Below are 15,819 nucleotides of genomic sequence, written 5' to 3'. Positions count from 1 at the left end.
CCATCACCACTAAAAAGACAAAAAATTTGCCGGGCGTGGTGGCGGGCGCCTGTAGTCCCAGCTACTCGGGAGGCTGAGGCAGGAGAATAGCGTGAACCCAGGAGACGGAGCTTGCAGTGAGCTGAGATTGCGCCACTGCACTCCAGCCTGGGCGACAGAGTGAGACTCCATCTCAAAAAAAAAAAAAAAAAAAGTTCTACATGAACTACTGAAGAGATCATGATAAGTTAAATATATATCATAGCATACTGGAGGTAAGATAAAAATATATATTTAAAGAAATATCTTTGTGTAGTTCTCATAAAATCTCCCCCAAATCTATAAATGTTCTAATGTTACTGTGAACTACTCCCTCCTTTCTTTGACCACTTTCTGCCATTGACTCTTAGGACACCACATTCTGCAGGATACCCTTTCTGGTCTTTTTTGCTGGCTTTCCCCCTCTGCTTGATAACTACATGTGGGAGGCACCCAGGAGTCAGACTGGCTTCTTCTCAAACTTCACTCTTCCCCAGATGACTTCATCCAGTTCCATGGCTTCAGATATTCATTATTTAATAATTAATCTCTATGTGCCCAACTCTAACTTTCCCTGAAATTCCAAACTCATATAGGTATTTCGAATTTAACATGGCCCAAATAGAACTCTTATTTTCTCTTCTCCCACCCCAACCCTCTCTTCCTTCTAGTTGTTCAAGTCAAAAATTTAAGTTTTCCTTGATTCCTCTTTTGCCTTCAATCCCCATATCTAACTCATCTGCTTCTAAACTCCTAAATATCTCCTGAATAGTTCAAGTCCTCTCATTTCCACTACTAACAATTGCTAGTCCAAACCACCTTCATCTCTCTCTTGAACTACTGCAACAGTTTTCTAACAGGTCTATTTCCAGTTGTGGCCCCTTCAATAACTTCTTCATATAGTAATCAAAGTGATCTTTTCAACTATTAATTGCAATACATTGCTTCTCTGCTCCAACTTCTCAGCACACTTGGAGTAAAATCCAAAATCCTTACCCTGGATTTCAGACCCTTACATAATCTGGCACTGGCCTACTTCTCTGGCTTCATTCCTTATCATCCTTCCTCTTGCTCACCAGGCTCCAGCAATATTGGCCTGAATTTGGCTGCATGCCACCTGTTACGGACTGAAAGTCTATGTCTCCTCAAAGTTCATATGTTCAAGTGTTATCAGGCCTGTGAGGAGTGGATAAAGGCTAAATGAAGTCATAAGGATTGGGGCCCAAATTTGATTTCTTCCTATAAGTGTCCTTATAAGAAATGGAAGAGACAGATCTCTCTCTGTCTTCAAGCATGCACACAGATGAGGCCATGTGAGGACACGGAGAGAAGGCAGCCATATGCAAGGCAGGAAGAGAGCCCTCACCAGGAACCAAATCACTGGGACCTTGATCTTAGACTTCCCAGCCTCCAGACTATGAGAAATAAATTTAAGCCACCTAGTATGTGGTAAGAACAAATATATTTGGTCTTTGTCCCTAGTTCCTGACACACAAACCTAAAACTTGAAGAATCACAGGAGTAATGTGTGTCTTTCATATGCTAATGGGATGACTGGAGGCAGGTGGCCCCCAGATAGCTTCAGGACAGATGCTGGTCCCAGAAAAGCCAAGGCATGATCAGAGGGTTAGATCTTTCAGAATCCCATCCTCCCCCTGTCCTTCGGGGAGGGGAGAGAGAGTAGAGATTGAGTTCATCACTCATGGCCAATACTTTAGTCAATAATGCTTACATAGTGAAACCTCCGTAGAAACCCTTAAACAACAGAGTTTTGAGAGCTTCTGGGTTGGTGAACACATTGAGATTCTAGGAGGGTGGTGTTCTGGAGAGGACATGGAAGCTCTGTGCACCCCTTCCCCCTATTCCCTGGCTTATGCCTTTGGCTGTTCCTGAATTGCATCCTTTACAATAAACCAATAATAGTAGGTAAAGTGCTTTCCTGACTTCCGTGAGCTGTTCTAACTTGGGGAGGCAGCTGTGGGAACACCCTGACTTTATAGCTAATTTGTCTGGTGGCCTTGACTTGCGACTGGCATCTGAAGTGCAGGTAGCCTTGTGGGACTGAGTCCTTGACCTGTGGGGTCTGTGCTAACTCCAGGTAGTTAGTGTCAGAATTGTATTGAGTTGTAGAACACCTAGTTGATGTCGGGAGAACTACCGAATTAGTCGTGTGAGAAAAAACTCCATACATTTGGTGTCAGAAGTGTTTTGAGCAGAAACGGTCCAAAGTGGTACTTTGTTATGGAAGCCTGAGCAGACAAATACAACCACCTAACCTCAATCAGGATTCAGAGCCTTTGCTGTGGCTTAGAATGCTCTTCCGTGGTCTTTGAATTTTGGTTTCTTCTTATGATTCAGGTGTCAGCTTAAATTTCACGTTTCCGGATAGGATAACCCCAACTGCTAGATCTAAAGTAGCCACCCAGTTACTTTCTGTTTTAATTTTCTATAGAACACTTACCACTATGGTCTACTCTCAACTAACCATTCTCTGAAGGACACTGTAAAATCCTGGGCCAGTTTTCTCTTATTACTCATCAAGTTCTGGGAATGTAAAAGTTTTACATTACCTTCAGAAAAATAAGATGAAGATGGTAACACAGCTACAGAAATAACCATATAAAGCATCTGAAAGTCAAGTTATTATCGGACTTTTATCTGAAAATTCCTCTCAATATACAAAGCTATGTATTTGAAAAAACTGTATACAAAGGTGGCAATTATACATCTTATTTTATACCACTATAATACTGCTTAGAAACTAAACTGCATTTTATGATACTCTTTAGGCACAAAGAATAGCAAAAACATTTTCTAAATGCCCACGTTAATCCTGAATGATACATTTACATTCCTGGGTCCTGTTACATAATTCCCTATTTCATTTTTTTTAAAGTAGATAGTCTCTTAAAAGAAAGTTACAGAAGATTTTGTTGCTGGTGGTGATTCTTTTTCTGTCTCAGAAAACAGTAATAATACATGTATTGTGTATAGATATATTAACGACACTAAAACATTAACTTTCTTACTTACACAATGTATATAATCCAGCCTATAAACGCTGTTGCTTATGTCAGTTTATATTTCGTTTTTCATCAGTTTAGATAAAACTTTCCAGCATCTCTTCCTGGGAAAGGAGACTAGTCTATCCATATTTCTCCCCAGCACTGAACTATGCAATTTGCATCAATGTAAGTGTAATTTTAAATCGTCTTCTAGATAAAAACAAATTAGTCAGGTATTTTCCAAGATAAAAATATCTTCTGTTTACACAGAGCCCGCTGGCTCAGCCCGCTGGCTCTTTAAGTGACTGATGACTTACCTTCTGTAGGCCTTCATGAATGAGGTGACCTATGTCATCTATACTCCTTCCTAACCGTTTAGATAAATATGTGAAGATTGGGTCTTCTTTAGGTAGCAGAGGTGCAGAAAGATTAACTCTCTCCTGTACACCCTGAAGAGAAGAAAAAGATTCAAAAGACATATCAAAGGATATAAAAGATGACAAATAATTCAGTATCTTGTAGTGTTTATTTTGAAATACTAATATTTTGGAATTTTAAGAAATAAGAGATGTCTATAAAATTACAAAGCTGTCAGGAAGGAGAGAAGAAAGAGAAATGGTCTTTATAAGTGAGAGACCAACTGAAAGAAGAACGCAACGCAAAAAAAAAAAAATCCTAAAGTTCTCTACTTACTCTCAAGTGCTGAAAAGCATGTATACTATATGGAAGTTCTAGAATTTTAGTACAATCAGGTTGCTCTGGGTCTGGAGGGACAGGAGATTCTGTGTCTATATAATCTTCAGGACTAAAATCAAAAAGAAGCAATGAATGAATAAAAGGTGAGATAAACAATATTTTATTTATTTATTTAGAGAAAGGGTCTCATTCTGTTGCCCAGGCTGGAGTGCAGTGGCATGATCACAGCTCACTGCAGCCTTGATCTCCTAGTCTCAAGCGATCCTCTCACCTCAGCCTTCCAAGTAGCTGGGACAACAGGCATGCACCACCACAATCAGTTAATTTTTTTTACTTTTTGTTGAGACAGGTCTCACTATGTTGCCCAGGGTAGTTCTGAACTCCTGGCCTCAAGTGATCCTCCCATCTTGGCCTCCCAAAGTGCTGGGATTACAGGCGTAAACCACTGTGCTCAGTCAATAATACTTTAAGAAATGTCAAATTTTCCCCATATTCTCATAGCATCTCAACTTTACACAATTGTTAGTCAATATTCATACCTTTTCACATAGCTGCCATGAAGAGTCAAACATTTTGGGAGTTTGAATTAAAGTCAAGAATCACAGGGAAAATAGTAGATAGGTCACAGAATAAGATCATGGACTTTTTAATAACTAATACAACTGCTCAATTGTCTAGAAACGTTAAACCAATTTATACTTCCACTGACAGTCTCTCTACATTTTTACCAGTTACTATTTTTTTGATATGCTTTCCATTTTGGTAGATGAAAACTATCTAAATGTTTTCATTTGTACTTTTTTGATAATTTCTGAGAAATTTTTTTCCATGTTTATTGGCCATAGGTAGTTTTTGTTAATTTTTTTAACTACAAATTGTTCAATTTTATTTTTTTCTCTTTTTTATTTTTCATTTTTATTTTTTTATTTTTATTTATTTTTTATTTTTTATTTTTTTTGAGACGGAGTCTTGCTCTGTCGCCCAGGCTGGAGTGCAGTGGTGCCATCTTGGCTCACTGCAAGCTCTGCCTCCTGGGTTCACGCCATTCTCCTGCCTCAGCTTCCCGAGTAGCTGGGACTACAGGTGCCCACCACCATGCCTGGCTAATTTGTTTTGCATTTTTAGTAGAGACGGGGTTTCACCGTGTTAGCCAGGATGGTTTTGATCTTCTGACCTCGTGATCTGCCCGCCTAGGCCTCCCAAAGTGCTGGGATTACAGGTGTGAGCCACCGCACCCGGCCTTTTTTTTAAGAGACAGGGTCTCACTCTGTCACCCAGCCTGGAGTCTGGGCTAGGGTAGAGTGGCACCATCATAGCTCACTGTAACCTTGAATTCTTGGGCTCAAGTGATCCTCTCAGTTTAGCCTCCTGAGTAGCTACAACTACAAGTGCACACCACCATGCCTGGCTAATTTTTAACATTTTTTTTTGTAGAGATGGGGTCTCGCTATATTGCCCAGCCTTGTCTCAAACTCCTGGCTGTTGGCAATCTTCCCGCCTTGGCCTCACAAAGTACTGGGATTATAGGTGTGAGGCACCACGCCCAGCCAAGTTGTTCCATTTTCTACTGTGGTGTTAAATATTTTAAATTAATTTATAAGAATTCTACATGTAGTATGTATTTTGAATTTTCAAATTCGAAAACTCATCTGTGATTGAAGCTTACCCTTATTACAGAAATAATTTCTTACTAATTTGAGAAAGGAAATGTTTGAAACAGCAATTTTATTTTTGGAAAGAGAACTTCTTTACCTGATGTCTTTGCTCTCCAAAGTTATGTATGTGCCATCATATAGATCCAGGTCCCCTAAGGGCACCTTGGCTTTGATGCAGTCTGGGTCTTCTTTATTATGTCTCTGTTCCAGTCCTGTGTCTCTGTCCTCATTCTCTTCTATGTGAATTTTTTGAGCAACTAATTGTTTCTGTTGAGAAGAAAGTAAGAACAGAATGGATTCTTCTAATATTTTAGTCTAACTACCATTGAAGAGAAAGGGGAATCTGAGCTGAAGAAGTCAGAATCCTCTATGTAGGAAGACAAGAATTCTGAAAATGCCCTTAGTTAACTTAGTCAACATACACAAGCTTCTCAAAAAAGATGTCCACATACAGAAAGTAACAGAACACAACATTTATCATACTGACACACATGGGCCTTCATAAGATGATTTCTGACTACCCACGAAGCACATCTACTAACTTAACTTTCCTGGCACAAAATGGCTCTGCAGTGAAAACAAACCTGTCAGGTTGTTTCAATCCTTCAAGACATAGTACATGTTGCTATTGGTACCTGGGTATTCCAGTTAATTCCTGTCAACCATAAAATATCTATTTTTTCAAATGTACAGACAATAACACAAATATCCACATTTTCACCACCCGTATCTATCATATGCCAATATTTTATCTCCCCCCTCCACCCTTTTTTTTTTTTTGAGACAGTGTCTTGCTGTCACCCAGGTTGGAGTGCTGCAGTGGTGTGATCACAGCTCACTGCAGCCTCGACCTCCTGGGCTCAAGCGATCCTCTCACCTCAGCCTCCCAAGTATCTGGACTACAGGCATGTCCCACATGCCCAGTTAATTTTTTTTTTTTTTTTGAGACAGGGTCTCACTTTGTCACTCAGGCTGAGTGCAGTAGTGCGATCACAGCTCACTGCAACCTCAAACTCCAGGGCTCAGGGGATCCTCCTGCCTCAGCCCCCTAAATAGCTGGGACTACAGGTGCACACCACCATGTCTGGCTAATTTTTTTTTTTTTTCCATACAGATGGGGTTTTACCATGTTGCCCAGGCTGGTCTCAAACTCCTGAGTGCAAGCAATCCACCTGCCTTGGCCTCACAGAGTACTGGGATTACAGGCTTCAGCCACCATGCCTGGCCAACTTTTCTATGTTTTATAGAAATGGAGTCTCACTATGTTGCCCAGGCTGGTCTCAAACTCCTGGGCTCAAGCAATCTTTCCACCCTGGCCTCCCAAAGTGTTGGGACTACCGGCATAAGACACCATGCCCAGCTCAGATTTTTTTTTTAAAAGAAAAAAAAAAAGGGAGTTCAAGGTATTCTTTAATGTCTTCTAAATCTCTAACTTCTTATAATTAATCTGAATTTATGTGTCATTTCCATGTATATTTTTATAAATATTTGTATAAAATACTACATTACTCTTACTCTCCTAAAATATTACTTTCATTATATGTGTATCAAAAATCAAAATACAGCATTGCTTTGTAAGTTTTAAAATTTTATATAAATGGTATCATACTTAATGTATCTACAACTTAAAAAAAGTATGTATGTTTTTGAGATTTATCTACATTAGTCAGGATAGCTCTAAATTTTTCATTTAAATGGATGTATAAATATGTATTTATCCATTTTCCTGTAAACATTTATGTTGCTTCTTTAAGAAAAACTTTCTTTGCTATTAAAAATGCTACTATATTCTTATAAATGTCTCCTTGTATACATGTGAAAAATTCTAGCAAGGGCAGAAATATGGGGGTCATATGGGATGCACATTTTCAGTTTTATATAGACGTGTCAATCTGCTTTTCACAGTGATTATAACAATTAGAATTGTCCCAGTAGATCATAACACCTATATCCCCAGAATCTTAGCAATGTTTGGTTTTGTCATACTTTTTAACTTATGCCAATCAAATAGGTATGAAACATTATTTTGTTATATTTATTATGGTAGTAGACTATGTTATTGTGATGGACTGTATTACTATTCACTAATATCCTGCCCCTCCTTACATGATACATCACTGTTTTTGCTGGACTCAGGCTTGGGCAACATGACTTGCTTTGGCCAATGTAACATAAGTCCCATGTGACCCTTTTATAGGAAAGGTTTTATAGAGTTAGTGTGTGCTTCACCATGTTCTTTCTTTTTCCCTCAGCTACTGAGAATGCCAAAATTACAGACAGAGGCTGCTCTGTCGGCCTAGGTCCTGTCTTATGGATCACAGTGACATGGTACAGATCCCCAACAGAGCCCCAAATGATCACTTAGCATGACCTTATTGTTTATGCCATTAAGATTTTTGGGGTTATTATTAATGGGGACAGAGCCTATGATCTGTTTCCAATTATTCCCTCCACACTTTTCATGGAGATATGCTATCCTGCCCTACTGACTTCAAGGCATGGCCACATGACTTGCTTTGGCCAATGGAATGTGAGTAAAGATGGTGTATGTCACTTCTCAGTAGAAACTTTAACCAGGCTTATATTATTTGGTTGTTCTTCCTTGAGCCTTCACTTTCCTTCATGAGAACAGCACTGAGGTTCTGCGGGCTATTTGTTGCCAATGCAAAAGCTGACTAATACACTATAAAATATGGACTATATCAACCAATAGAATAATATTTAATAAGATTGAACATATTTTCATATGTTTATGAGATATTTTGTGAATTAACTGTTTAAGTTTGCTTATTTTTTCCCCCCAATAGCTTTTCTTCTTTAAAAAACTGATTAGTAGGATTGGCGTGGTGGCTTGTGCCTATAATCTTAGCATTTTGGGAGTCCAAGCCTAGAGGATCACTTGAGTTCAGGAGTTTGAAACCAGCCTGGCAATACTGCGAGACCCCATCCCCATGAAACAAAGTTAGCCAAGTATGATGGTGGTGCTTGCCTGTAGTCCTAGCTACTGGAGAAGCTGAGGTAGGAGGACTGCTTGAGCCCAGGCAATGAGGTTATAGTGAGCAATGATCATCCTACCTGCTTTCCAGCTGGGGCAAGAGTGAGACCCTGTCTCACAAAAATGAATAAATAAATAAATAAATACATACATACGTAAGAAATTAATCTATAGAAATTTATGGAAAAAGTAATTCTATAAACTCATCCTCTATGAGTTATATGCATGGCAAGTATCAGCTTTTAGTTTGTAGCTTATCTTTTAATTTTGTCATTTGAAGAAAAACTTTTAATTATAAGGTGGGCAACTTTATCAACTGTTTTCTTAATTGTTTGTACTTTGTTTTATTTAAGAAATCCTTCCCAAACCTGAGATCGTAATTACATCAATCAACTACAGTCAAGTACCACATAAAGATGTTTTTGGTTAACAAGGGACCCCAGCAGTGGTCTCATAAGATTATAATACCACATTTTTACTGTACCTTTTTTATGCTTAGTTATACAAATACTTACCATTATGTTACAACTGCCTACAGTATTCAGTACAGTAACATGTTATACAGGCTTTATCACCTAGGTTTGTGTAAGTACACTCTATGATGTTCCCACAATGGTGAAATCCCCTAACAACACATTTCTCAGAGCATATTCCTGACGTTAAGCAATGCATGACTATCAATATTTTTTTTTAGTAAAAAGTTTCACTTTTCATACTTAGATTTTTAAACTGCATAGGAAATTTTTTTTTTTTTGTACATTGAAAGGTATTTTTTTCCCACATGGACAATCAATTTCCTAATATCATTTATAAAAAGTCTATCCTTTCCCCATTTATTCAATCAATTTTTATATTTCATGTTTTCTAAAACCTTACATTATACCTAAGTTTTCAAATATATTGGTCTAGTTTTTGTAGTATTAATAATTATGTCTTTAGTTTAAAAAATCTTTATCTGATATCTGCTTTTTCATCACTAACATTTCTTTTTTTCTGTCATTTCTTTTTCTGGTAAGCCTTGCTGCTAGAGTTTGGTTTATTTTTTAAATAAACAATACTGTTTTCTTGAGACTGTTTAATTTCTTATGTTATTTATAATATTATTTCCATATTTATATTAGGTTATTTTAGTTATTTGGTTTATTATGTTTTCTAACTCGTGTTGAATATTTAACTCATTTCTTTTCAGTCTTTTTTTTTTTTTTTCTTTTTAAAGACAAGCTCTTGCTATGCTGTCCTGTCTGGACTCAAACTCCTAGGCTCGAGCAATCTTCCCGCTTCAGCCTCCCAAGTATCTGGGATTACAAATGTGAGTTACTGTGCCATTTATTTTAATAAATGCATTTTTCTATAAATTCATATCTAAATATATCTAAGCTTCATTTCAGGATTTTTGAAATGAAGTGTTCCCACCATAGTCTAAAGTTTTGTGAGTTTTCTCTTTAAACCATGGGTGATTTAAGAATGCCTTCAAGATTTTCAAAAATTTGTGTTTTCTCTCTTTTTTCCTGGGTATGTGTATTTTATTTCTTTTAACTTAATTGCACTGTGATCAGAGAACATGTTATGCATGATAACAAAACTTTGTAAATTATTTCCTTTATATCCTGGCAGTGGTCAATTCTGGTAAATATTCTACTTGAAAACACTGTATGTTATCTTCGTTCAATTTAGGGCATACTCGCTCCCTCTATCTCTTTTTCTATGTCTTGCTGTATACATCTACATATAGATATATATAGATCCAAAGGTGTTACCTCCTGTATTTTATAGTATTTTTGTTGGACTTATCAGTTTCTGATAAAGATCTGCAAAATCGCTTCCTCTGGTTGACTTTTCATGTAATTCTGTTAGTTTTTGCTGTCTTGATATAAACATACTTATATCCATGAGGCCGAGTTGTTAGGTACATACAAGTATACGATATTATATTTTTTGGTAGGTTGTTAGCAAGTAGTATCTGTCTATTAATTATTTTAGGCTCTTATTTTGCCTGAGACAGGCCCACTGTTCTTTACCATTGTAAATCTAAAATTCTGAAAACCTAAAGCTTTAAAAAAATTTTTTGCATTAAAATTCACATGGCAACAAAACCTGATGGAAAGCCATTTTACAGTCTTTATACTCTTACCATGCATGGTCATACATGTCACTAAAGAAATATTAATGTATCTGATTGTAGAGTTTGAAATAGCCCTGAGAAGTAGAATGAAATATAAAATATTTGTGCCCATCACATTTCTTTTTTTTGTTTTGTTTTTTGAGACCTGGTTTTGGTATGTGACCCAGGCTGCTAGAGTGCAGTGGTGTGGTGCAATCTCAGCTCACTCAACCTCAGCATCCCTGGCTCAGGTGATCCTGCCACCTCAGCCTCCCAAGTAGCTGGGACTATAGGCACACACCACCATGCTGGCTAAGTTTTCTATTTTTGGTAGAAACAGCATTTCTCCATGCTGCCCAGGTTGGTCTCGAACTCCCGGGCTCAAGCAATCTGCCCGCCTCGACCCCCCAGAGTGCTGGGATTACAGGCGTGAGCCACTGTGCCTGGCCTAACATTTCTAAAATTAAAAAACCAAAACAAGAAACCATATTCCTAAATACATATATAGCCCCAATGATTTCAAATAAGGAACTGTGAACTTGTATAAATACATCCATATCACCTTTCTTTTGCTTAGCATTTGCATAGTAGATACTTTTTCTATGTTCTCTCCTCTCCTCCTACATCCTCTTTTTTTATTTGTAAGTTTGGTAACTATAGATTTCTTTTTTTTTTTTTGAGACAGGGTCTCACTCTGTCACCCATGCTGGAGTGCGGTGGTACTATCATAGCTCACTGTAACCTCAAACATCTGGGCTCATGCAATTCTCCTGCCTCAGCCTCCCCAGTAGCTAGAACTACAGGTGCCTGCCACCATGCCCAGCTAATTTCAAAATTATTTTGTAGAGACAGGGTCTTAAACTCCTGGTCTCAAGCAATCCTCCTGCCTTAGCCTCCCAAAGTACTAGGATTACAGGTGTGGGCCACCACACCTGGCCTGCATGTCTATTATTTTAGTGCTTGCCCCTATTTTTTTTTGTTTTTGGTTTTCGTCAGTAAATATTTCAGTATGTTTTGAAAAGAAAAGCCTCTTTTGTAAAAAATAAAACCACCACACCACTATCACATGTAAAAAATAGTAATTCCTTAATATCAAATATTCAGTCTGCATTCAAATTCCCAATTGTTTCTTCTCTTTTAAAAATAGAGTTTGTGGCCGGGCACGGTGGCTCCCGCCTGTAATCCCAGCCAGCACTGTGGGAGGCCAAGGTGGGCGGATCCACCTGAGGTCAGGAGTTTAAGGCCAGCCTGGTCAACATGGTGAAACCCTGTCTCTACTAAAAATACAAAAAAAAAAAAAAAATTAGCCAGGCGTGGTGGCACATGCCTGTAATCCTAGCCACTCGGGAGGCTGAGGCAGGAGAATCGCTTGAACCCCAGGAGGCGGAGGCTGCAGTGAGCTGAGATTGCGCCATCGCACCCCAGCCTGGGGGACAAGAGCAAGACTTCATCTCAAAAAAATAATAAAAAAATAAAAAAATACATAGTTGGTTTGAATCAGAGTTCAACATAGTCCATACACACTGCAATTGGTTGATTTGTCTCTTACATCTCTTTTAATCTACTGGATACCACTCTCTCTCTCTCTCCCCCACTCCCTTGTAATTTATTTGTTAAAGAAACTGGGGCCAGACATGGTGGCTCATGCCTATAATCCCAGCCCTTTGGGAGCCCAAGGTGGGAGGACTGCTTGAGCCCAGGAGTTTGAAACCAGCCTAGGCAACAAAGTGAGACGCTGTCTCTACAAAAAATAAAAAAAATAGCTGGGCATTGTGCACGCCTGTGGTCCCAGCTACACAAGAGGCTGAGGCAGGAAGATAGCATGAGCCCAGGAAGTTGAAGCTGAAGTGAGCCGTGTTCATGCCACTGCACTCCAGCCTAGGTGACAGAGCAAGACCCTGTCTCAAAAAAAAGAAAAAGAAAAAAAAGAAAATAAAAAGAAAAAAGAAAAAGGAAATTGGATTGTTTGTTCTGTAGAGTTTGCCACTCTAGGGGAATTTGCTGACTAGGTACTCAAGGTTCACTGAACATGTTCCTCTATTTTCTGTATTTCCTGAATATTGACAGCAGGATCTAGAGTAATAATCTTTTTGTGTCATGGACTTCTTTGGCAGTCTGATGAAGCCTATAAATCTCTTCTCAGAATAATCTTTTAAATATATAAAATGTAAGAGAAAGACAAAGGAAACAAATTACATTGAATAACAAATTATATTGTGGTTTGATTATTTTTTGGCAAGACTACTTAAAAAGTAGCAAGCAACATCCTTAAGTTTTTAATATATTTGCCAATAAATTTTCCCATAGGATTTTAATTTATTCAGTTATTTTTATCTTTTGAACATGACAAAACAGTCTAACATGCTTTAATTACTGAACATACTCCAACCCAACTACATATTATTAATTTTATCTAGTTTGACCTTAGAGAGCCCAATAAGTAAATAAATTTAGCAACTTTTTCATCAATGTTTTTAACTTATCATTAGACATTCTATGAACTTCCACTAGGTTTACTTTTCTTCTTGCAGAAATACATACTTAATATGTTTCTTTCAGCTGAAGTGAGGGTCTGTGGTTAGTACTGCTTTTGTATGTCAGAAATTATCTTTACTTTGCCCTCATTCTTAAATGATAGTTTAAAAGAATATAAAATTTCAGTAGAATTGATTTTCCCTTACCCTTCACTGTCTTCTGTTATCTAAGATGTTCATATAGTTGTCACTACTTGGTAGATAAACTGTTTTATCTAGTCTCATGGCTTTATGTCTATCTGTCAATGACTAACAAATTTCTATCTTGAGCCTGCATCTTTCCCCTTGAGTTTGCACTAGAAGGACCAACTGCCCACGTGACATCCATTCTTGAATGCCTGATAGGCATTTCAAACGTTAACATTTCAAAGCCAAACTCCTCCCCAATCCTGTACCTCCTTCAGTCTTCTTTATCTCAGCTAATATCAACCTCAGCCTTGCAATCACTCAGGTCAGAAACCCTGAAGTATTTCTTCATGCCCTCTGTCTCATCCCCTTCTTTCCAATCATTCCATGACCATCATCTAGGTCTCATAGTTTTGTGGTTGTTTCCAGGTTCTATCCAGTTACCAAGCTCAGAATCAGACCTTCCAATTTTGGTTTCGAGTTCCTATCCCAAATATTCTATCCTAAAATGATATTCAGGAAACTGAAGATGTAATTATTGAACTATTGGATGATTCAGTTCCTTTTTTTGGTTATCAGGGTTAGTCTTTCTGGTTTTGATATGTTTTCTTTTGTTGTTGTTATTATTATTATTTTTGCCAGGCTCTTTCTAGGAGCAGAATGGCTCCATCCTAGTCTTCAAGCAGTAAGCCTCGTTCTGTTCCTACATCTTGCATGGAATACTGTCAGCTCCCTTAACTCCACAGTGCTGCATATCAGACACTACTATAGTCTGCTCCTGGCCTTGGAGCCCAAAAGGTCGGTAGCTTTGGCCACATTCCCAATTTAGTGCTTCTCCTCATTTCTGGTTTATGGAGATGCTTATACTACTTTCAAGCCTGCCTACATTTTATTTTGGTTTATATTTTTATATTTTACCTGGCACTGCTATGCATATGAAGCAGAAGCTTCATAGTATAAGTATAAACAAAAATAGAAGTTTATATTTAGTATAAGTATAAACTCCTACACTACCTTAACCAAAAATTGGTGGAGTCAATATTTTTCATTTCATTTTCACTGACTTAATAAATGGCACTTTCTTCCTATATATCCTCCAATTTAAATCTCTTTCTCTTTATATAATACTGCCTCCCTAAAAAGATAGCAATAAACATATACAATGTGTCTATATACCTGAAAAAAAAATTTTTTTCTGCACCATTGCATCTTTCTGAACACCGGGTTTAAATAAAAATAGATCATGCTTCCAAGCATGAAGCACTATAAGGATACCTATTGTCTAATTCCTAGTATTGATAAAAATCAACATTTCCAAATTTACAAGTGATAAAACCAGTAGGAACAAGGTGAGAAACTATTTTTACAATGTTGAGGTATTCAAGTTCTAGAAACACTCTAAATATACTACTAATTAGGCAGAGCTGGTTACCATGTGCTAAAGTCTTCTCTCTCTTAATTCACAGATTTTTTTAAAAGTACATATTTATAACTATTTGTAGACATATGTATGTTGATAAATATACTAAATGTATGTAAATGAAATTCGGGACTTTTACATAACAAGAAAATACATGCCAACTTGGCTTAACAGGTATGCCAGCTTTTGGCCGGGCACGGTGACTCATGCCTGTAATCCCAGCACTTTGGGAGGCCGAGGTGGGCAGATCACCTGAGGTCAGGAGTTTGAGACCAGCCTGGCCAACATGGCAAAAGCCGTCTCTACTAAAAGCACAAAAATTAGCTGGGCATGATGGCAGGTGCCTGTAATCCCAGCTACTCAGGAGGCTGAGGCAGGAGAATGGCTTGAACCGGGGAGGTGGAGGTTGCAGCAAGCCAAGATCATGCCACTGCACTGCAGCCTGGCCGACAAGAGTGAGACTTCGACTCAAAAAACAAAACAAAACAAAACAAAAAACAGGTATGCCAGCTTTTAAGTCAAGAGATACAGCTTTTGTTTCTGGTTCTGCCATATCTTGCTTTGTGAAGTCAGGCAATTCATTGTCTTTAGGTCTAATTGTTTCCTTGCCTCTAAAATGAGGATGATCTTATGATTCCTTCTAATTCTCAAATACTCTGATTCTACTTTTATTACTTTTATTATTCCCATTAGTTTTTTTCTCATTTTGCAATTTGATTTAATGTTTCTACAACTTACAGTTTATTTACAATTTAGATTCAATTTACACTGTAACTTTAAAGCAGAGATTTCATGAGAAAAAAAAAACCTAGTTTTTCAAATAACAAATACTGTTTGCTATTAAGCAAAATCAATTTATGGAAATATGTTAGAGAAAAGGAAAACTGATGTTTATTAAAAAAAGTCAGATTTTATTAGCACTAATAAGATTCGAGCTTTCAAGGAACAAGGTGATTAATGTTTTTCACGTCAACCATAAGAAAACATAATAGGAAGACATTAGTTTTTACTACCTGAGAATAAACAATAATTACATTTTTAGGCTATTAAAACCTTTCTTTCTTTTCATATTTTATCCAGATTATTCTAGGAATATCTTCAGAGATTATATCATTTTCATATTTGATGGAAAAAACTTAAAAACACAGAAATTCTGTTCAAAGATAAATGAGTTTTAAGAATCACGCATATACCCAGGCTAGAGTAGTCTGTTTTTCTTACTACTACTCAAATATCACTTTGATAAAATGATAAAGAAAAAACACACAC

The 15,819-nt window shown here is 37.5% G+C and overlaps 1 protein-coding gene across 12 annotated transcripts in view; it reads right to left on the bottom strand.

The window, feature by feature from the left end:
• The window catches only part of TTC17 (tetratricopeptide repeat domain 17), a 136,012-nt gene that overhangs the window by 99,639 nt on the left and 20,554 nt on the right, over positions 1 to 15,819 (bottom strand). For all 12 annotated transcript variants that reach the window (NR_164823.1, NR_164824.1, NM_001376525.1 and 9 more), the window contains 3 exons: positions 5,472 to 5,641; positions 3,717 to 3,828; positions 3,341 to 3,472 (listed from right to left, as the gene is read on the bottom strand). Coding sequence is in view for 10 of the 12 variants with exons in the window: in NM_001376525.1 (NP_001363454.1) it covers positions 3,341 to 3,472; positions 3,717 to 3,828; positions 5,472 to 5,641 (414 nt within the window). In the remaining 2 variants the exon portion in view is untranslated. The remainder of the gene's footprint in view (positions 1 to 3,340; positions 3,473 to 3,716; positions 3,829 to 5,471; positions 5,642 to 15,819) is intronic.

This window comes from Homo sapiens, chromosome 11 (genome assembly GCF_000001405.40).
Source record: "Homo sapiens chromosome 11, GRCh38.p14 Primary Assembly".
Classification (NCBI taxonomy): domain Eukaryota; kingdom Metazoa; phylum Chordata; class Mammalia; order Primates; family Hominidae; genus Homo; species Homo sapiens.
Note: the sequence above shows the minus strand (reverse complement) of the source record. Positions and strands in the feature narration are given on the sequence as shown.